General features: G+C 37.0%; 1 protein-coding gene across 2 annotated transcripts in view, besides 2 other annotated features; it reads left to right on the top strand.

The window, feature by feature from the left end:
* ZFR (zinc finger RNA binding protein) overlaps positions 1 to 22,522 on the top strand; it is a 90,391-nt gene that overhangs the window by 54,701 nt on the left and 13,168 nt on the right. Inside the window, exons 13-17 of one of the 2 annotated variants that reach the window (NM_016107.5) lie at positions 1,366 to 1,571; positions 2,341 to 2,491; positions 4,391 to 4,532; positions 9,868 to 9,965; positions 10,830 to 10,925. In NM_016107.5, coding sequence (NP_057191.2) covers positions 1,366 to 1,571; positions 2,341 to 2,491; positions 4,391 to 4,532; positions 9,868 to 9,965; positions 10,830 to 10,925 — 693 coding nt within the window. The remainder of the gene's footprint in view (positions 1 to 1,365; positions 1,572 to 2,340; positions 2,492 to 4,390; positions 4,533 to 9,867; positions 9,966 to 10,829; positions 10,926 to 22,522) is intronic. The other variant, NR_144318.2, reaches the window with a different exon arrangement.
* Positions 13,758 to 13,975: a silencer, noted in NCBI's record as "fragment chr5:32376171-32376388 (GRCh37/hg19 assembly coordinates)". NCBI's record gives its function as "represses an EF-1alpha promoter that drives an FKBP-Casp9 reporter gene in an ReSE screen in K562 erythroleukemia cells {active_cell/tissue: K562}" and the evidence as "EXISTENCE:reporter gene assay evidence [ECO:0000049][PMID:32094911]".
* Positions 17,097 to 17,300: a silencer, noted in NCBI's record as "fragment chr5:32372846-32373049 (GRCh37/hg19 assembly coordinates)". NCBI's record gives its function as "represses an EF-1alpha promoter that drives an FKBP-Casp9 reporter gene in an ReSE screen in phorbol 12-myristate 13-acetate-treated (for megakaryocytic differentiation) K562 erythroleukemia cells {active_cell/tissue: K562(+PMA)}" and the evidence as "EXISTENCE:reporter gene assay evidence [ECO:0000049][PMID:32094911]".

Genomic DNA, 22,522 nt, shown 5'->3' with positions numbered 1-22,522 from the left:
AACTGGGATTACAGGTGCTCACCAACACACTTGGCTAATTTTTGTATTATTAGTAGAGATAGAGTTTCGCCACGTTGGCCAGGCTGGTCTTGAACTCCTGACTTCAGGAGATCCGTCCGCCTGGGCCTCCCAAAATGCTGGGATTATAGGCATGAGCCACCTCACCCAGCTTGATACAAGTTTTTAATCTGATTTAGAATCTTTCCTCCATTTTTTATAGGAAGGGAATATGTTTCCTGTGTCTTCTGTATAAGGACCTCATAGAATTTCTGGGAATCTTTCTTATTTTCGGTATATGCTAAACGGGAACGGAGCTTTTTATGCCAACTGTTCTTTCACATGAGACTCTTGCCTTTGGTTTTCCTTACATGAGCAGGAACAACTAATTTTTTTTCTTGTTTCTTTTCTTATTTTTCCTTTGGAGTGCAGTGGCATGATCATAGCTCACCGAAGCCTCAGCTTCCCGAGTAGCCGGTACACAGGCATGAGCCTCTATACCTGTCAGAAACAACTGATGTTGAAGGCAACTGCTTTGTATTTAGATTTATTCTTACTGGTCTGGGTGCAGTGGCTCATGCCTATAATCCCAGTACTTTAGGAAGACCAAGGTGAAAGGATGGCTTGGTGCTAGAAGTTCAAGACTAGCCTGGGCAACATGGTGAGACCCAGTGTCTATAAAAATTTTTTTTTAATAGAAAGAAATTTATTCTTATTTTTCCATTACCAGTGGCTTAGAATCTTTTTTCCTTCTTCCAGTTTTGACCATCCAAAACCTACTACTTCTAAATTGAGTGAAAGATAAGGGGTAGATAAAATGGTTTTAAGATAAGCCCCAGAGTTGATGTGTTATTAAGACTATAGGAAAAATCTGCATCTTGAGAGATGCAGAAGCTGGGTAAAAGGGACATCTTGTGTAAGTTCAGTCTACCAAAAACAAGATTTGTTTCTCTATAGAGCAGTTACAAGAAAAAAGTAGACTTCTCTTCCTTAACCTGTTCTCTCATTTATCTTTGCTCAGAGGGTTGGCAGTTGTAAGACTTGAATTACTGAAAGCAAAGAAAGTTTCAGAATCACTGGTTTCTAAGGTTGAGTAAAGAGCATTTTCATAGCTTTAGGTTTATATGTATTAGAAATGTTACTTGTTTTGAGGCAAAGTGGGTGTACATGCATGCATGCATGCATACATACATATAGTCTTGATGGTATAACTTTCCATAGTTTGCATTTTCGTTTTTACTGAAATGGAAAAAAGAAGATAAAGGCTTTCTTATTGAAAAGATACAACAAATATGTATAGTTGAAAAATATAATTTGCTTTTGCTCAGGAAACTTTTTTTTAAATTGAGCAACTTTGTTTCTCTGTAGCCCTTACGTCGTCCTGACTCATCTGATGACCGTTATGTAATGACAAAACATGCCACCATTTATCCAACTGAAGAGGAGTTACAGGCAGTTCAGAAAATTGTTTCTATTACTGAACGTGCTTTAAAACTCGTTTCAGACAGTTTGTCTGAACATGAGAAGAACAAGAACAAAGAGGGAGATGATAAGAAAGAGGGAGGTAAAGACAGGTGTGTTTTGAAAGTTATTTACCATGTGTAATTTTGGTTTTTCTTATGTGGACTTCTTACATTTGAAATATAGCTTATGACTGGTAACTCTGGTGTGAGTTCTATGTGTTTTAACCATGCCTGTGTTCGATATTTCATGTATTCTGCAGCTGCTTGCAAAAATAGAAATACACAAGTTCCACGGACACATGTAGTGTCTAACCTCGTAATTGTACTCATTTTAAGTTTATATAAACTATTTTGAGTCTATTTCAAAGCAGCCATTATAGTTTTACAGTTGTACTCAGCTGCTGTTTTTCTGTTCTTATTTGTTTGTTGCTTCTGCCCCACACTCAGTCTTTGTTTTAATAACTATTTCCTTAAAGCACTGACTGTAAAGCATGATTAAGCCTAAGCTTTAGTAATGTCTTTATGTCAAGTTTGCATTATTAGCTGTAACTTTTTATTTTCCTTTTACCATTTGGAAATATTTTTGTATTACATTAAACATAACTCCTATTATTCTGACTTGTGAAATAAGAAACAGAAGTGTTAATGTCCATTGCTTTGCAGTTGTCTTTCTGTAAAGAACTTAGCTCTTTATTATTTTTTTTTTTTATCCACATTGCTTAAATGAAGTATAGTTCTAAAAATGCTGGATGTCTTTCTACTGCGGTTGATGGAAATTTTAATGGCACAAAAGTTATTTCACTTACTATTGTATGTTTACAGAATATCATGCTTCTGGTTAAGCAGAGAAATATCATAATATAATTTTATTTTACTGCAGAGCTTTGAAAGGAGTTTTGCGAGTGGGAGTATTGGCAAAAGGATTACTTCTCCGAGGAGATAGAAATGTCAACCTTGTTTTGCTGTGCTCAGAGAAACCTTCAAAGACATTATTAAGCCGTATTGCAGAAAACCTACCCAAACAGCTTGCTGTAAGTATTATGGAAATGTTCATTTTTACCCCTTGTCTGGTTCAGAAGTTTTTGGCGGGACTGACTGTGCTTCGGTTTAAACCTAAGCCAGCCTTTAAAATTTTGGCTTGACTTTCTGTATTGAGTTTTTTTGTTTGATTGTGCAAACTGATGAAACTATTTTCTACTTCATCTTTTTTAGGTTTTATAGTGATTATATTTGGCATGAAGCCATCTTGCTGATTTATTTAAAAATGTAAAATTGCAGCATATGCCTTCCTTCTCTTGTTCTTTTTCCAAGACTTGAATCATAAGAAGGCAGTTGTTAGGACAAAGTGATTTTTTAAAAAAAAAATCCCATGTGTAGCAAGGTTAAATTTTTTTAATTCATGAATCTCTTGCCTATTTAGTTTAATGCTTTTAATAAAATGTAGTAACTAAAATAGTGTTTCTGATTTTAATTTCCCCAGTTTTATTGTGAATATTTTCAGTTTTCTACATGTTTATAATGGTAGGAAATACTTCTCGTCTCCATCCAGCAAAACATGGCAATGCAAAACTAATAGAGTATTTTATTTGGGTCCTACAAAAACAAACTTTTTTTAAGCTTAAATTTATAAAAATTTTATATATTAGCTTGTCAGAATGACTGAGATTTAAAATAGTGATTCCTTTCATAATTGAGGGTATAAAACTAGCAATTTAATAAAGCATTCTAAATTCAAGGAATCAGCTTTCATTGGTAACATGTATTCTACAGTAGTGAATTAGAACAGTACCTTACTGTAGCAGAGCAACTGATGACAAAAGGGACAATGAAGCACACTATTAAACTTAAAACTGACAACTCTGCACTTACTGTTGCTTGTTTTATATTACCATTATTCCAGATGGGAAATTTTTTATTGTAGATGAGTCTTTTTTTTTAATTATCGGGAGCCAGGAGAATTGGCTGTGTTGTGTGTTTACTTCTTACTCCTGTTGAGGCTGCTAGGGCAATGAAGGGGGAAAATAAAAGGTTTGGAAGCCTTGGAAGAATCATAGAATTTGCGAGAAACATCTTGATCCTAATTGTGGTGCTTAGTAAAACTGCAAACCAAGGAATATATCATAACTAAATAACTAACAACCAGTTAAGCTAAAAGTGGAATACTCTTCAAACCCACCTATATAAGTGGATAAGCAAGTGAAATAAAATTAATTTATAGTTAATTTATACTATAGTAAGTGCTTTATATAGTTGATTCATTTAATCTTCCAGCCACCCTATAGGTTAGGTACAATTATTTTCTCCATCTTACAGAAATAGGTGCAGGATAGTTAAATAATTTGTCTATCATCGCATCACTGTAAAGTATCAGAGCTAGGATTTAAACCTAGATACTATACTGGAAATACTGTATGTAGTTTCTGTAGAGTCTTCATTTGTTCGTATAAAATGGAGCTTATTACCTGTCTACCAAATTACAGCAAATCCTGGTTTTTCTGGATATTGACTGAGACTTTCTGCTCCCTGATAAAATGTGTATTTCACAGAAAATGTACAATATGGGAATAAATTGTAGCTCCTATTAAGGTCAGGTAGCTATTTTAGCTTCATTCAAATTATGCAAATATATGTTATAAATATGGCAGTGTTTCTTTTATCCAAGAATTTATTATCTAAGAGAGATAGACCTATGTACAAATAACTCACAATACAAACAATGGTAAATATTAGTTCAACACAGAATTCTGAAAGTAGGGAGTAAGACTAATAATACTGGCATGTACGGCAGGGCTTCCTAGAAGGAGCAGTATATAATCTGGTCCTCATATAGAATGGTTAGGGTAGTAAGAGAGTGAAAGAGCCATAATGAAAGTGCTTTTGTTTGTTAATACAACAGATCCAATTTGTTTCTTATCATCTTCATTACACAGGTTATAAGCCCTGAGAAGTATGACATAAAATGTGCTGTATCTGAAGCGGCAATAATTTTGAATTCATGTGTGGAACCCAAAATGCAAGTCACTATCACACTGACATCTCCAATTATTCGAGAAGAGAACATGAGGGAAGGAGGTTGGAAAGCCATTAAACTTTCTACTTTCTATTAACTTTTTTTTTCATTTATCTACTCTTTAAGATGGCATTAAGCCCTAGAAGGCAACATGCTGGCATTACACGTGAATTTGATAGATTTGACTTATTTAGCAACCGGTTTTGCCTAAGATAATTTCCCACAGAGTAAATGCTCTTTTTAGTGATGTATTTTTATATAAAACACTATGGTATGATTGATTTTCTTGATTTCTTTCTTTTCTTGCTAACCTCAGATTTCTGGAAAAAAAACTTCAAAATTATTTTTACTGGCATAGTCAATGCATGAAAAAATGGTTTTAAAATGTTGCTAGTGACTAGGGGGACACAACTTTAAGTTGGATTAAGAAGTTTTTGCTCTTGCCTTGTCTTACAAAAAAGACAAGAGTTTTCACAAACAAAATTGGCTAAGTATTCGTAACACATTTTTAAGAGGCATTTTTATACATATATATATAATAATGGATTTGGCTTGTCCTGTGGTAAATATTTCTAGTTCTCTGAGGTTGCTCTTTGGCTTGGAGCACTTTCATAAATGCAGAACATCCTAAAGCAGGAGGATTTGGACATTTGACCCTAATATCACACTTAAGATACTGAAAAATAAACTGTGTAAATGTAGATAGTGAGTCACAGCACAATTCAGGGTTTTTAAACTTAATTTACAACTATAGAATATGAAATCCTGCTGGTGCCAGCAATGTTGCTTTAGGGACTATTCTGTAACATTTTCAAAGCTTCAAAAGCTTTTAAGCTGAAAAGCATGATCAGTGTCTGCAGTATGTTGGTTCTGTTGTTTTATGGGTCAGATAAAATTTACTTTGTTTCCTTTCATGTTTTTATACATCTTGTTGAGTATGGAATAACAGTCTACACTAATATTTCTTTGTGATACAGGTTGAGGAGGAAGAGGGTACTACATACTTAATATTAAAATTCATTTGTATAAAATAGCATCAGTAGTCTCTCAATTACTGTTTCTTTAAATTTGTTTGCTTATAACAAAGCAATTTTTTAAGACACTGGGCTTTTCACAACCCAGGAAAAGAACATTTTACCAAAAATGTCATTGGGAGCTATGTCTAATTTTACATACTTTGCATGTATACCATAATCAGATGATATTTATATCTTAAGCTTTGCATCTTAAATGAGTTTTGTGTAAAGGGTTTTCTTATGTGAACGTGAGTTTCTACTCAAGGTCTGGCCATGGGTGTTGCTGGAGAAACAGTTCCTGAGTCAATCTGGTCAGGTCATATACAGCATATGGGATTTGATAAAACTAATATGATACATTATAAATGTTGCTGTATTTAGTGTAAAATGATAACCATTTAACTTTATTTCAGAATACATTTTGTTCAGTTATATTTAGACTTAATTAAATTTATACAGTATCAAGCCATTTTATTATGTTGTAAAAGTCTAAAGTGAATAGTGTCATATTTGCAGTAAATTATTTGATAACCTATCCCTTCTAAAGGAAACAAAATTATATTTTTGTCTGACCCAGACTTGAGTTAGAATTATTGTTCTGAATTTCATAAATATTATGATGAGGAAAATGGTCAGTCCAAAATGGAAAGATTTTGCTTCAAGACACTGAGCTGAAAAGTTGGATGTGCCAAAGTGTAGAAACACTGATAGTGTTCCTTGCTGCAGATAACTGCAGTAAACCATGTCTTTAGCTTCATTATGAAGATTGCTTCTTTCTTGCTGCAGAATAACGGTATGTATTCTCTCTCACTGCAGCTCCCAGTGCTCTGTGTCTTAAAATCATTTAAAGCCTATAGCTTGCTTTGGGGAGTTAGTACAGGGGTTAAGGAAGGCTTTGCCGGAAGAACAATTGTAAATCATGAGAGTTACTACTTGCGCATTGTGTGGTAGTCTCTTTAATGCATAATGGTCCTTTTTAATACCAAAAATTAATTAATAAAGGAAATGATTACATTGTCCAAATAACTGTTAAACACATGACAGATCTGTTTTATGATACTGTGTTTGACAGTTAAACATTAAGTAAACATTTAATTGACTTTAAGCTTGAAATGTTCAGAATGCTCTAACCCTTGCTACAGAATCTTTTCTGCAGCAAGTTAAGTATTTTGTGTGTTTTTTCCCACCTGTAGCTTATCAGGCCCGGTCCAAAGCCTTCTAGCAGAGGGGATTGATCCTGTCAGGGGTTGCTGCCAAGACATCGGAAGGATTTTTGACCAAGGTTTTCAAAAGCTCAGTGTCACATCTGCCATTTGATAAAGGAGGGATTTTGGATGCAGAGCCTGGCATTTATTGTCCTTTGTGTGGCTGTTTTGTTTGTTTTGTCTTTGTCTCTTCTAGAATTGAGCAGTGTTCACACTAGTTTTTAAATGGTTGAGTGGGTTATATATTTTACATGACCATGTTAATTTGAATTAATATATTCCCATTAACGTTTAATCTTAAAATAGTGTGGACACAGCATGTCTTCTAATTGGTGATTAACCCCTTAAAATCTATGAAATACATTCACATAGAATAAGAATTAGCATTTTGTTTTTATAAATTAACTGATTTTTTTTTGCTTTGTTAACTGGGTGTTAGGCAACAAGTATGATTTTAGCAGAATATAAGGGGTTAATCTACTTGAAATAGAAAATGGGTACAAAAATCCACACTAAATTTAACAAAAATTTTCTACTTATAGCTGTAATTTGTTTTTAAATTGCAATAGGTATTAGCTGGGCGTGGTGGTGAGTGCCTATAATCCCAGCTACTTGGGAGGCTGAGGCAGGAGAATTGCTTGAACCCAGAAGGTGTAGGTTGCAGTGAGCCGAGATCATGCCATTGCACTCTGGCCTGGGCGACAAGAGTGAAACTCCATCTCAAAGAAAAAAAAATTGCAATAGGTGTCTTGGCATCTTTGAATTTATATCATGAATTACAATTTCCAAAGTTATGAATGCTTATGTGCAAAACAAAATTTTCTTGCATATCGGAGGAAATAAAATTGTGAATTAACATTAGAAATTTAGAAACATTTTAGAGATTGCACATTGTCACCTATTTGCATTCTAGCTTTAGCAAATGTAAGTAAATAAGGGACATAGAAAGAGGTTCTTTAGCATGTTATAATACTGCTTTGGGGAAGTCAGCTTTTTCTTTTTTGTGTGTGTGAGGGGTTTGGTTTTGTTTTGCTTTGTTTTTGAGACAGTCACTCTGTCACCCAGGCTGGAGTGCAGCAGCACAATCTCGGCTCACTGCAACCTCCACCTCCCAGGTTCAAGCAATTCTCATGCCTCAGCCTCCCAAGTAGCTGAGGAGCTGGGACCACAGGCATGTGCCACGACACCCAGCTAATTTTTGTATTTTTGAGTAGGAATGGAGTTTCACCATGTTGGCCGGGCTGGTCTCGAACTCCCTACCTCAGATGATCCACCTGCCTCAGCCTCCCAAAGTGCTAGGATTACAGGCATGAGCCACTGCACCTGGCCCTTTTTTCTTTTTTAAAACTTCATAGTTAGCTGTCTCTTGTGTCCCTTTTCTTTATCTATTCCTGACAGAATAGTTCATTTCTTATGTTCAGGTTATTTCTAGGTTCAATAGTTGGTCTTATAAGTTTTGAGAGAACTAATATTTTTGTCTTGATAACTTCTTTTTAGCACCAAATTCCTCTTTTAGTATTTATTCTCAAAATGTCACACAGTTTTCCTTGATTATCTGTCTTTCCTCTAAATGTGTCTTCTGAAGAATCTGTGTCCATCTGATTACTCGAGGAGTAAAAAACTAAGAAAAAGAAACCTTAGAGAATAGAATTCTCTATCAGTTTCAAAATATGTTTTTTATATGTCATCTACTCAAAATAAGAACAAGTTATCCTTTAAGATATCTGAATGCTTATGAGATATGAGTAACTTGACCAGAACTGCAGCTAGTACTCTTAAGATAATTAACTTTTTCATACTTTTATCATGTATTTTTTCGTCCATATTCATTTTATATATTCGATTATTAAACTGTATTCTAAATGCCCCATAATTTCCAAAGGACTATTATATTTAATAGATTATATAATTTTTCTATATTGAGAAAATATTCATACTATTTAAATCACTGAGAGCTGTGAATTAGATTGGAATAATTGCCATTTGCTTACTAATAGCTTGATTAGCAGATTTGCTGTTAATATACACATTTTACAGATGTTTAGATGGATATAAAGATAGCCCTTTGTCTACTTTTATGAATGATATATTAATGTAAAGTTAACTTCTTGTCCTGGTTTAGTTTCATATATTCTCAAGTTTTGTGTAGCTCATTTATGTTTTAATCAGCTTAAAGACCCTACACATCTATCGTCACAGGATCAGCATCTTTTCCACTCTTAATTCTGTTTAACCATACTAGTTCCTATTCGCTGTTCTGCTTGCCTATTGTTTCTCTTTTATCATTTTTTGAAATACTTTATGGGAACTTTAAATTTTAAAGGGCATTTCATACTCTCTGATAACTAAAATTTTCATGCGGAAGGGAGAGCATTAAACTTTTAGAAATGCCTGTTTTGGGCCGGGCGCAGTGGCTCACGCCTGTAATCCTAGCACTTTGGGAGGCCGAGGCGGGTGTATCACTTGAGGTCAGGAGTTAAAAACCAGCCTGGCCAACATGGTGAAACTTCGTCTCTACTAAAAATACAAAAAATTAGCCTGGTGTGGTGGTGCACACCTGTAATCCCAGCTACTTGGGAGGCTGAGACAGGAGAATCGCTTGAACCCAGGAGGCCGAGGTTGCAGTGATCTGAGATCGTGCACTCCAGCCTGGGGGACAGAGTGACACTCCGTCTCAAAAAAAAAAAAAAAAAAAAAAGAAATGCCTGTTTTGGGTTCTTCATTTTTTTCCTATAACTGTAACTATATTGAGCATTCTATATTTATCATCAGTTCTTTGTTATATTAGCTCCAGAATAACTTACGACCATTTAGAGTACTGAACAAACTCAGTAGTTTATTGTACATACTCATTAAGGTGGATTTTTGTGTTCCCTCTTGTCTTGTTGTCTTTGTGCTAGTGCACTGTGTCCAGTAATCTTTCCTTCGGATTTCGTTTTGGTGGGTAGGGTTTATATTTCCAGAAATTGTTTATTATATTACTAAATTAATAAGTTAACCTTTTGTTCCTCATATTGGATTATGTAAATTTATTGAAAATAACTCCGTGGATATATTAAAGTGCCAACAAGCTCTCAAATGGCTCATGTGACACTGATGCTACCTTAAGGAAGTGTCTTGCTCACCTGGTCAAACACCCATTCCTCACTGCATTTTGCCAATTCAATCCATTTTAGATGTAACCTCGGGTATGGTGAAAGACCCACCGGACGTCTTGGACAGGCAAAAATGCCTTGACGCTCTGGCTGCTCTACGCCACGCTAAGTGGTTCCAGGTTCGGAACATCATTTTACTTTTTTCTTGTAGCCTTATGAGAGAAGTAGTTCAGTACAACATGTTTAACTGTGCTTAAACATTTCAAAAGACTGCCCAAGCAATACTATTTTAAATTAAATATCAGAAAATATGTTAACATAGAAAGCTGGGTATGATGATCTGCATATTGCAGTTATTATTAATTTGACAATGAACTTAGGTTTGGGGAGTGTTTTGTAGTTGGGGTTTTTTTATTTTTTATTTTTAGTGGCTATATTTAAAGTTGACTTGTTTAGGAACATCACATGTTTGTGTATATATATTATATTCCATAAGGCTGCAGATTAACTTTGCTTTAAATAATGGAATATGTGTTTAAAGCTTTGTGTATAGTTTTAAGATTTTTTTCCCCCTCTTTCTCTAAGTTAATAAGTGTAGGGAGTGAAAGGTGAGGAAGCAGCTGTTTGGTTTAGTGACTTTGCAGTCATGCAAAGGCACAGAAGGGAAACCAAACAGATTTCCTTAACCTTTCAGTCCCTAGACAAACTTTTTAGCTCTTTACTTTTTCTTTTATTTCTAATGTAGGCAGACTTTTTTTTTTTAAGTTTACTGTTTTAAATGAACACAGGTCAAGGTTCACAGGGGATCAAGAAATATTATTCTTGTATAATCTGTTTACTTTGACCTAAATACCAGCTTTTAAATACTAACCCTGGCATAAAATACTGCTGTAAATGGCAGCTCATTGAATCCAATTTTAAGTGTGATTGTTTTTGTTTTTATCTGAGCTTCCATTGAACGGTGGTATTTTAACTTTTTTTCATCAAGGGATATATTCAGTATTTCTAAGATTAATTCAATTGGTTTTTATGTTGCTCTCAAGGCTAGAGCTAATGGTCTGCAGTCCTGTGTGATTATCATACGCATTCTTCGAGACCTCTGTCAGCGAGTTCCAACTTGGTCTGATTTTCCAAGCTGGGTAAGTAGTACGTAACTGTATGGTGTAAAAACATGTAGGAAATAATTCTGCAGCTTTTATCCTCTCAGTTTACATGTAATTATCAGCCTTATTTGCATTTACTAAATATAGTTTTTCTTTTCTGATGAAAAATCCTGGGGGAGTCTTAGAATGTTTAATTTTCTCAGATGTGACTAATTAAAGAATTTTCATTGATGTTTCTCTTTGTGTGTTTTTTTCTTTTTGCTGTTTTCACAGTGTTTTTTTTTTAATATTACAGCATTTATTAGTTGGCTTTTACATATAATATACAAATGTATAAAGAAGACTTTGAAGAACTGTTAATCTCCTTATGCAGGGACATTTTTTAAAATAATGTATGTGGTTGGGAACTGTAAAAATTCAGAAATACATATTATTCAAAAATAATACAAAAAAAATAGGAGATTCAGTAACGCAGAAAGCTACAAAATAACCAAAAGCCTTCTTATTTAAAGGCAGATTATCTTAACAATCTGCTGTGATTTCTTCTAGGAGAAAAAAATTATACCTATATACAGTATATGTTTCTATCTTTATGTACATTACTGTTTGAAACTTTGATTCCTGAAGAGCAAGGATTCAGATAGACAGGGATTCATCAAAAAATAAAACAACCTATTGACTCCAGAGTTTAATTAATGAGAGTTAATAGGCAAGATTACCTTAGTTCTTTTTTTTTAATCTTTTTTAACAAAAGCATGGCCTTGCTATCACAGTTTAAAACTGTACAATTTAAAACTTTCTTAACAAATCTCATCTTAGAGTTCTTTGAAAAGGCAGTCACATCTGCATTCTTTCTATGGACATGCCGTATTTTATTTAACTTACATTCATTTGATAGACATTTAGGTTTACAATCTTTTGCTATTAAATCCTTATTATACCTCATTGTATATATTGTTGTCAAGCTTTTGAGGGCGGAATAAATTGCTAGGGCTGAAATATCAAGGTTAAAGAACATGTACTAATTGTTCACCAGAAGGTTGGGTCATTGAAAATTTCAAAAAAACTATTAGACTAATTATATTCTTTACACTGTCATAGTTCTGGGATATTATCACACTTCTTAATAGTTAACAATATGATAGGCAAAATATGGTATTCGCCAAGCACAGTGGCTCATGCCTGTAATCCCAACACTTTGGGAGGCCGAGGCGGGCGGATCACTGAGGTCAGGAGTTCGAGACCAGCCTGGCCAACATAGTGAAACCTCGTCTCTACTAATAATACAACAATTAGCTGGGCATGGTGGCGGGCACCTGTAATCCAAGCTACTCGGGAGGCTGAGGCAGGAGAGGAGAATCACTTGAACCCGGGAGGTGGAGGTTGCAGTGAGCCGAGATTGTGCCACTATCTCTAGTCTGGGTGACAGAGTGAGACTTCATCTCAAAAATATATATATATGCTATCTAATTTTTTGTATTTCTTTAATTGCATAATGGTTGGCATTTGTAATTGTTTTTTTCTTAACTGCCAGTTTCTTATTCATCATTTTATTATAGTAATTCTTTTTACAATAATTGGCCTTTACCTGTGTTGGAAATTGTGTTCTCCAGTTTTTCATCTACTTTTCAGCTTTATGATGATTTTTGCTATATGAAAGTTACCACATTTTGCCGGGCACGGTGGCTCACGCCTGTAATTCCAGCACTTTGGGAGGCCGAGGCGGGTGGATCACAAGGTCAGAAGATCAAGACTGCCCTGACCAACATGCACACCTGTAATCCCAGCTACTCAGGAGGCTGAGGCAGGAGAATCGCTTGAACCTGGGAGGCAGAGGTTGCAGTGAGCCGAGATCACGCCACTGCACTCCAGCCTGGCAACAGAGCAAGATTCTGTCTCGAAAGAAAGAGAGAGAGGAGAGAGAGAGAGAGAGAGAAAGAGAAATAAAGAAAGAGAAGGAAAGTTACCACTTTTTTTTTTTTTTTTTTTTTTTTTCAGATGGAGTCTTGCTCTGTTGCCCAGGCTGGAGTGCAGTGGCACGATCTTGGCTCACTGCAAGCTCCGCCTCCCAGGTTCTTGCCATTCTCCTTCCTCAGCCTCCGAGTAGCTGGGACTACAGGCGCCTGCCACCACGCCCGGCTAAATTTTTTGTATTTTTAGTAGAGACAGGGGTTTTTTTTCAGACAGCTTGTCGCCCAGGCTGGAGTGTAGTGGCATGATCTCAGCTCACTGCAGCCTTTGCCTCCCGGGTTCAAGCGATTCTCCTGCCTCCGTTTTCCAAGTAGCTGGGATTACAGGCAGGGGCCACCACGCCCTGCTAATAATTTGTATTTTTGGTAGAGATGGGGTTTCATCATGTTGGTCTCAAACTGCTAACCTTGGGTGATCTGCCCTCCTTGGCCTCCCAAACTGCTGGGATTATAGGCCTGAGCCCCACTGTACCTGGCATTAAATTTTGATTCATTAATTTTTTTTATCATTTCTGGATTTTGTATTTTGACAAATTAGTTCACACCTGCTTTCTTTTTTTTTTCTTTTTTTTTGACACAGAGTCTCGCTCTGTCGCCCAGGCTGGAGTGCAGTGGCAGCTGTAGTACAGTACGGCTATCTCAGCTCACTACACACTACAGGCATGCGCCACCACACCTGGCTAATTTTTGTATATTTTAGTAGAAACGGGGTTTCACCATATTGGCCAAGCTGGTTTCAAACTCCTGACCTTGTGATCCACCCGCCTTGGCCTCCCAAAATGCTGGGATTATAGGCATGAGCCACTGTGCCTGGCACATCTCCTTTGTTTTAGAGCTTTTTTTTCATCGAATTTTATTTTCTATAGATATGTATATGTAAATTTAAATACATAACAAAATTTTTGGTAGGATATATTCTAATTTACAGTAGTGATTATTTCTGAGGAGTGAGAGGAAGAGATGACTAGTATAGAGACCTGTAATGTTTAATTTTTACCAGGATAAATTATACATGTGCATTACTTAAAAACTAATTTAAAACTGGGCATGGTGGCTCATGCCTGTAATCCCAGCACTTTAGGAGGCCGAGGCGGGTGGATCACAAGGTCAAGGAGTTCAAGACCAGCCTGGCCAAGGTGGTGAAACCCCATCTCTACTAAAAACACAAAAAATTAGCCAGGCTTGGTGGCAGACGCCTATAATCCCAGCTACTCGGGAGGCTGAGGCAGGAGAATCACTTGAACTCAGGGCGGAGGTTGCAGTGAGCCGAGATCGTGCCACTGTACTCCAGCCTGGGCGACATAGTGAGACTCCGTCTCAAAAAAAAAAAAAACTAATTTAAAAACTATAAATCGATAGATGAAAGATCAACCGGTCATGGTCTAGTGGCTCATGCCTGTAATCCCATTATTTGAGAGGCCCGAGGCAGGAGGATCGCTTGAGTCCCGGAGTTGGAGACCAGCTTGGGCAACATGGTGAAACCCTTTCTCTAGAAAAGATAGAAAAATTAGCCCGGCATGGTGGCATGTGCTTGTGGTTTCAGCTACTGGAGAGACTGAAGTGGGAAGATCTATTGAGCCCAGGTCAAGTCTACAGTGAGCCATGATTGTGCCATGGCACTCCAGCCTGGGTGACAGAATGAGACCTTATCTCTTTTTTTTTCTTTGAGACATATCTACAAATGATATTTTGCCTTCTTTCCAATACTTGTTTTTCTATTTTAATTAAAAGATAATTCTAGAGTAACAAATACGGAATAAAAGAAATACTGCTTGACATGTATGATACGTTACTGATTGTATTAAAAATGTTTCTGGTCTATAAACTGTATTAAGCATGACGGTATATAGCCTTTTATTTGAGATATTTACTTGTCATGTTGAATTATCAATCTTTTTCCAGTTTAAGTAATTTTTGAATCAGTAACGGAAGTTGAACTTTCATCAATTTTTTAAGTCTTATTAACATGAATGTATAGTTTTTCTCCTTCAACCTTTTAATACTGTGTAAATAGATTTCTTCATTTTGAGCTACCTTTGCATTCTGGGAATGATTCTTCATACATATGAGAATAGTGTTGTAATGAACTCTTAAGTTCTGCTTGCCAATAGTTTGTTTAAGAATTTCTCAGTGACGTGAAACAAATTTTTTATGTTTTGTTTCTGTGCTCTTTGTCAAATTTAGAAGCAGTGATCACTAACTCTGTAAAAATAATTTGGAAGCTTTTCTTTGTTTAAACTCTGAAGCAGTTTTAGTAGCATCAAAACTTTGTTTCTTGTCAGTTTATAAAAATTTATGTGACATCATCACTTCCCAATTCCTTTTAAGGGAATAGTGTTTTCTCAATTTCTCCTATTGTAATTAGTCTCTCTCTGGTGGTTAATTTTGGCAATTTATATTTCCTTTAAAAAAATCAACCCATTCAATAGAGTTATGCTATTTTAGGATTTTTTTTTGCTTGTTTGTTTGTTTGTTTGCTTTTAATTCTTCCTTGTGTCATTGATTAGACTAGCCAGTAAAGTATTTGCCAGATGGGAGCAAAATAATAATGTGGGTGTTTCAGTATTTAGGTGTTTGGAATTTATTAGATTCTTAATAGATTTTAAATACAATAATTTGTAGGCATTGTATAGCTTCAAATTTTATTTATTTATTTATTTATTTAATTATTTATTTTTGAAATGGAGTCTCGCTCTGTACCCCAGCCTGGAGTGCAGCAGTGCTTTCTTGGCTCACTGCAACCTCCATCTCCCAGGTTCAAGCGATTCTCCTGCCTCAGCCTCCCGAGTAGCTAGGATTACAGGCATGCACCACCACGCCTGGCTGATTGTATTTTTAGTAGAGACAGAGTTTCATCATGTTGGCCAGGGTAGTCTAGAACTCCTGACCTCAAGTGATCCGCCCACCTTGGCCTCACAAGTTGCTGGGATTACAGGCGTGAGCCACCGTGCCTGTCCCAAATTTTAAAAATGTATGGAAATACAAGCATTGTACATCATGATCCTGCTTCCTGCTTTCTTAAACTTTGGTCCCCTCTACCCACCCAGGGTGTCCTTGAAGCTATCTCTGTTGTAGTAAGTCCACGTTGTTACTTGTATGAATAGACTCTCAAGACCACTGCATCTGGGCCACTCTTGCAGTCTGGATTTTCAGCACTGCAGATTGGTCCTACCCAGGCCTTCTTTGAGAGAGTCACCCATGCACTTCACAGGGTGTGTTCTTCTTTGAGGGTAGAGAGCCGTAAGAACTGAGAAGAAAAGAGAATGCACAGGTCAAAGGAATTGAAGGAGCATTGGCCATGGCAGGGAAAATGATTGTGAAGAAAGTCAAAAGTGAAAAAAGCTGCTGGCTGATCTTTGAAATCATTTACATATAACAACAAATACATTAGTATTTTGGTACTTTAAAAAAAAACACCAAAATGTCAGTATTTTGACATTTAAAATTCGCTCCTAGTATTGTATTCTTCAGGCAGTGGTTTATCTGTTTTATTGCTTTTTTGTCTCTTCAAAATCAGCTCTATTGTAATCCTCATTAATAACTTATTACCTTATGATTTTACCTTTCTATATTTATTTTCCTTGGGGTTTTCTGTTATTATTTTACAAATTTCTTGAGTTAGATGCTTGATTCATTGATTTATTCTGTAGTTACAGAGGTTTTAAAGCTGCAGTTTAAAGACGAACACAAGAGTTTTGGCTGCATAGGTAATGCTTTGTAATTTGTTTTCATACTATCTTTAAACCAACAGTAGTTTTGAGGGAATTTTATTTCCCCACCCTTTCCCCGAGACAGAGTGTTGCTCTGTCACCCATGCTGGAGTGCAGTGGCTCAACCTGGGGTCACTGCAACCTCCACCTCCCAGGTTCAAGCAATTCTCCTGTGTTAGCATCCTGAGTAGCTGGGATTACAGGCATGCACCACCACGCCTGACTAATTTTTGTATTTTTAGTAGAGATGGGTTTTCACCATGTTGGCCAGGCTGGTCTTGAACTCCTCATCTCATGATCCACCTGCCTCAGCCTCCCAAAGTGCTGGGATTACAGGCGTGAGCCACGGCACCCAGCCAAGGGAATTTTTATATTCTGCACAGTTGAAGGAGGGTTACTTTTGTTTTGGTAAATAATAATTTAGTTTTTATGGCATCGTGATTCGAAAAATGTAGTCTGCTATTTGCAATTTTTGGAATTTAAAGGGTTTTTTTGTTGCCTAATATATGTTCAATTTTTATTAACTATGGTTATTTAAAAGAAGAGATCTGCTCTCAACAAGGTATAATGTATACCTCTTAATTTTTTAACTTCAGTCATTTTGTTCCTTTTTTTGTTTGTTTTGTTTGTTTTTTTGAGACCAAGTCTTGCTGTGTCGCCCAGACTAGAGTGCAGTGGTGTGATCTCAACTCACTGTAACCTCCACCTCCTGGGTTCAAGAGATTTTCCTGCCTCAGCCTTTCAAGTAACTGGGATTACAAGCGCGCGCGCCACCATGTCTGGATAATTTTTGTATTTTTAGTAGAGACGGAGTTTCACCATGTTGGCCAGGTTAGTCTCGAGCTCTTGGCCTCAAGTGATCTGCTCCCCTCGGCCTCCCAAAGTGCTTGGATTGTAGGTGTGAGCCACTGTGCCCAGCCCTCAGCTTCTTATTGAATAGGCTAAGGGTGAGGAAGGAAGATTGATGTTGCTGTCTCTGGTGGCAGAGATGGAAGATAACTCCCATATAAGTGGATCTGTGCAGTTCAAACTCACGTTTTTCAAGGGTCAACCATATAGAGTTCCCACATATCCCCTGCCCTCACACATACACAGCCTCCCCGACACTAGAGTAGTATGTTTGTTACAATTAATGAACCTACATTGACCTGTGACTATCACCCAAAGTCCCTACAGAATATATTTTTATCACTAGTTTTCATGCTATGTTCCACACAAGTACAAAGATGTCATGCAAATCTATTCTCACCTTTTTTGATAACTCTTCTTTTCCTTCCCCTGTGAGATATGATTGGAGGATTGCTTATGAAAAGGAGTAGGATTTGGCTACCTGCAGCCTTGTTAGCAAATGTAGGCTACACTCTCCTGTGTCTTCATCAAATATACTATGGCACTCCAAATGTGATGGATTTTATTGCCACCCCTTCAGTTTCAGGTTTCAATCCAAGAATGGACTCCTAGAGCTTTTGTCTTTGCAGGATTTGCTCCATTTGTTTCCTGAACCTATTTTACCATTTCCTTTCACTAACAATTTATATTCCCCTGAACCAAGAGAGCATTTGGGTATGTGAAGCTAATTTGGGGCTCTATGAAGTTTTTTTTTTTTTCCCTACCTCTAATTCCTTTGGAAGATCTTACCTTTATTTTTTCTTTTATCTGCATTTTAGCCAAATGCATTTATTATTGGAAATAGTTAGATGTGAATGATTACCATTTTTCTGCTCTTTCCTGATTTCCTGATTGCTTCTGTTCTTTCCTGGTTTTCAAAGTCTTCAGGATAGCAAATTCTAGTGTTTTTCTTTTTTCTGGTGAGATAGAAGATGGTCAGATGGAGTTTTTACGTTTAGGAAAATTTCTTCTGAAACTGCTTATAATGTGATTCATTTTACCTTTCTCCAAATTGAAAGTTATTGGTGAAGTTTTTGGGATTTGTTGAATCAGCTGTCATCCCCACCCTCATCTCTGGAGAGCCAAGCTTAAGCAGGGTAAACACTCTGTTCTTAAGGAATGTTCTCTGTCACTGGCCTTTTCCTCTGTTTGATTCAAGCTATTACATTTTTTCCTGAAATGCAGTAGTGTGTATATTCTATCATTTGTTTTTGAGACAGGGTCCTGCTCTGTCATCTAAACTGGAGGGCGATGGAGCAGCCCTGGCTCACTGCAGCTTTGAACTCCTGGGCTCAAGCATTCCTTCTGCCTGAACCTTCCTAGTGCCTGTGATGATAGGCACATGCCACCATACCTGACTAATGTCTTTATTTTTAATAGAGATGAGATCTCACTATGTTGCCCCAGCTGGTCTCGAACTCCTGGGCTCAAGCGATCCTCTTGCCACGGTCTTCCGAAGTGCTGGGATTATAGGCATGAGCCAACATGCCTGGCCCTAATATATTTCTTAATCATGTTTTGGAGGCAAGAGATCTTCAGTTTCTGTCTGTGCTATTGTCATAAACAGGAGTAACTTTTTTTCTGTTATCAAATAAATTTGAAATTCTTATGAACTGTATTATGTTTAATTTTATTTAGCATTCAGATTACTTTGAACAAATCCTTAAGTAACAATGCCTGCTTTTGTGGCCTTTCCTTTGCCACTGCAATGAGGATTGAAAATGGTGTTCTGCCTTCAAATTAGTTGTTCTTCTGTCATGAATCCATGGTGATGAAATAAAATATAGGTAGAGTTCTGTTGTAATGTTGGTCTGATATCAGAATTGCTGTGTGCTATCTAAACCTTTAGAATAGTATAACTGCAGTAACTTATAAAAGGCATGTAATTTTTTTAATGTTTATTATAGACCTAGCACAATGGCTCCTACCTGTAATCCCAGCACTTTAGGAAGCCAAGGTGGGAAGGTCACTTGAGGCCAGGAGTTCAAAACCAGCCTTATTTGTATAGCAAGACCCTATGTCTACAAAAGACAAACTTAAAAATTAGCTGGATGAGATGGCGCACACCTGTAGTCCCAGCTACTCAGGAGGCTGAGGTCAGAGAATCACTTGAGCCCAGGAGGTTGAGGCTGCAGTGAGCTGTGATTGCACCACTGCACTTCACCCTGGGCGACAGGGCAAGACCATGTCTGTCTGTCTGTCTGTCTGCCTGCCTGTCTGTCTGTCTGTCTCTCTCTCTCTCTCTCTCTCTCTCTCTCTCTCTCTCTCTCTCCCCCCACAACACACAATGTTATTATATATTTTATTTCTAGACAGTGTCCTATGATGAGTATTTCAGCAAAAAAATCTGTTATTGTGCTGGGCACAGTGGCCCATTCCTGTAGTCCCAGGTACTCAAGAGACTGAGGCAAGAGGATCTCTTGAGCCCAGGATTTTGAGGCCAGCCTGGGCACATCGTGAGACCCTATCTCAAAAAAAAAAAAAAAAAAAAAATCTGCCACTGTATTGATTAATGTTGAAAACAGTATGCTAAGTGCAAGAATCCAGGCTCAAAAGGTCACATGTTGTGTGATTCCATTTATATGAAATATCAAGAATATATAAATCCATAGAGACAGAGTGCATGTCTCTATGGAAATAGGGATAAGTTGCTTAATGGGTAAGGGGGTTTACTTTGCGGTAATGGAGATGTTTTGGAACTTGATATGGACAACATAGTATAATAATGCTGCTGAATCATTCGTTTTAAAATGTTTCATGTTATCTTTTTTAAGACAGAGTTTCACTCTGTCACTCGGGCTGGAGTGCAGTGGCATGATCATGACTCACTGCAGCCTCGACTTCCCAGGCTTAAGCGATTCTCCTAACTCAGCCTCCCACGTACATAGGACTGTAGGTGCATGCTACCATGCCTGGTTACATTTTTTTTTTTAATTTTTTGTAGAGATAAGGTCTCACTATCTTGCCCAGCCTGGTCTGAAACTCCTGGATCCAAGGGATCCTCCCAACTTGGCCTCCAGAAGTGCTGGGATTATAGGCGTGAGCCACCATTCCTGACCAGTTTTTTGTTTTGTTTTGTTTTGTTTTGTTTTGTTTTAAAGAATGATATATCAAATGTAAAGGAATCATTCTCAAAGAAAGGTGAAGAAAACTGCTATAATTATTCTTCCTGCCCAAATAACAGTTGAAATACGTTAACATTTCTTTTCACGTATTTTACTGGCTTTCAGAGGTATTTGTAAGTAATACAGATTTTAGTGGTGGTGGTTTGTACTAAAAGTTCTCCCGGCTGTTGCTGATAGAACCAACAAAGAGTTCTAAAATGATAGGACACTGACATCTCAGGGCAAAGAACAAACAGTCTCAGCTTACAAAAAAAACAGCAAACGGTACATGAACTAACTCAACATTTAGATACCCCTTAACAAAAATCATCTATTTAACTGTATGCACACCCCTAAATCACTAAAAGCTGTAAGTAAATCTTTTCCCTGCAAGACATGACCATTTTTATTAAGACTTTCATACATTTCACCATATAAAATAAAGTGCTGTGAGTAAATATATTACAAAAATGCAACAACCTGCAAATGGGCTTACAAATCAAAGTCTGTTGTGCATGTGTCAATAGTGATCCATGTCAACTGGACTATGTAAGTGGCTTTTGTATGTACAATTGCCCATTGTTGTGGTATTCATAAAATCCTATTTTAAGAGCATAAACATCTTAATTTGTAAAATGGGAATGATAGTCATATCTACCTTCAGAATGTGATTATAATGGTTAGAATTGGTTAATATATGTGAAGACTTAGAGCATCACTTAGCGAGGATAAGCACTCAGTAAGTGGTAGCTATAATGAAGAGGATAACTGCTACTACTGTTATTTAGCCAGAACTCCTAGTGCTAGAGATTGTTTCCAGTCTGTTACAAATTAAGAGCTGGGCAGAATATTTTTTGTGCTTTTCTTATGTAGTAATAGCCCTATTGTAAATCTTAGTACTGCCATTGCTGGGCTAATTAATGTGTGTCTTTTAAAAATTTGTGGCCAGGTGCAATGGCTCACACCTGTAATCTTAGCACTTTGGGAGGCTGAGATGGGCAGATTACCTGAGGTCAAGAGTTCAAGACCAGCCTGACCGATATGGAGAAACTCCCATCTCTACTAAAAATACAAAATTAGCTGGGCGTGGTGGCTCATGCCCATAATCCCAGCTACTTGGGAGGCGGAGGCAAGAGAACCGCTTGAACCTGGGAGGTGGAGGTTGCGGTGAGCTGAGATCACGCCATTGCAGCCTGGACAACAAGAGTGAAACTCCGTCTCTTGTTGGGGGGGGAAAAAAGTTTTGATGCAGTTTGCCATTTGTGCTTTAAAGGAAGATTTTACTGGTTTACACTCCCACCAGTGAAAGTGCCTGTGTTACTGAAATCTCATCAGGTGGCTTTGTTTTATTTGTTTTACATAGGTCTTTGTCTCTACCAGAGCTAGAAACTAATATTCATGGAAACTAGTTAATGTTTTCTCTCTGGATCACCCATTGATGAAAGATACTTATTGAAACATAGTAGGAAAGAAAACATAAGGGAAAGAAGAAAAAAAAAAGCATTATTTTGATTTCAGAAAGACCTGGGTTCAAATCTCAGCTTTATCACCTAGCTACATGACCTTGGACAAAACTATTTTTAGCTTCTTAAATTTATGGGATTTTTTTTCCATCTTGAATTAAATTATGCATATAAGTGATCATTTAGCATGGTGCCTGCCACTTACTAAGAGTTACTCTTATTATAACTGGAGATGGGATGGGAAAAAATACACTTCATGAGTGTTTTTAAAAAGCAAATAAGGCTGGGTCCAGTGGCTCACGCCTGTAATCTCATCACTTTGGCCTGTAATCTCATCACTTTGGGACACGAAGATGGAAAGATCACTTGAGCCCAGGAGTTCAAGACCAGCTCAGGCAACATAGCAAGACCTCATCTCTACTAAAAATAAAAATTAGCCAAGCATGGTAGTGGGTTCTGTAGTGCCAGCTACTCAGGAGGCTGAGGTCAATCACTTGA

The sequence above is a fragment of the Homo sapiens genome, chromosome 5, assembly GCF_000001405.40.
Source record: "Homo sapiens chromosome 5, GRCh38.p14 Primary Assembly".
NCBI lineage: Eukaryota > Metazoa > Chordata > Mammalia > Primates > Hominidae > Homo > Homo sapiens.
This window is presented reverse-complemented; position numbering and strand designations above follow the sequence as displayed.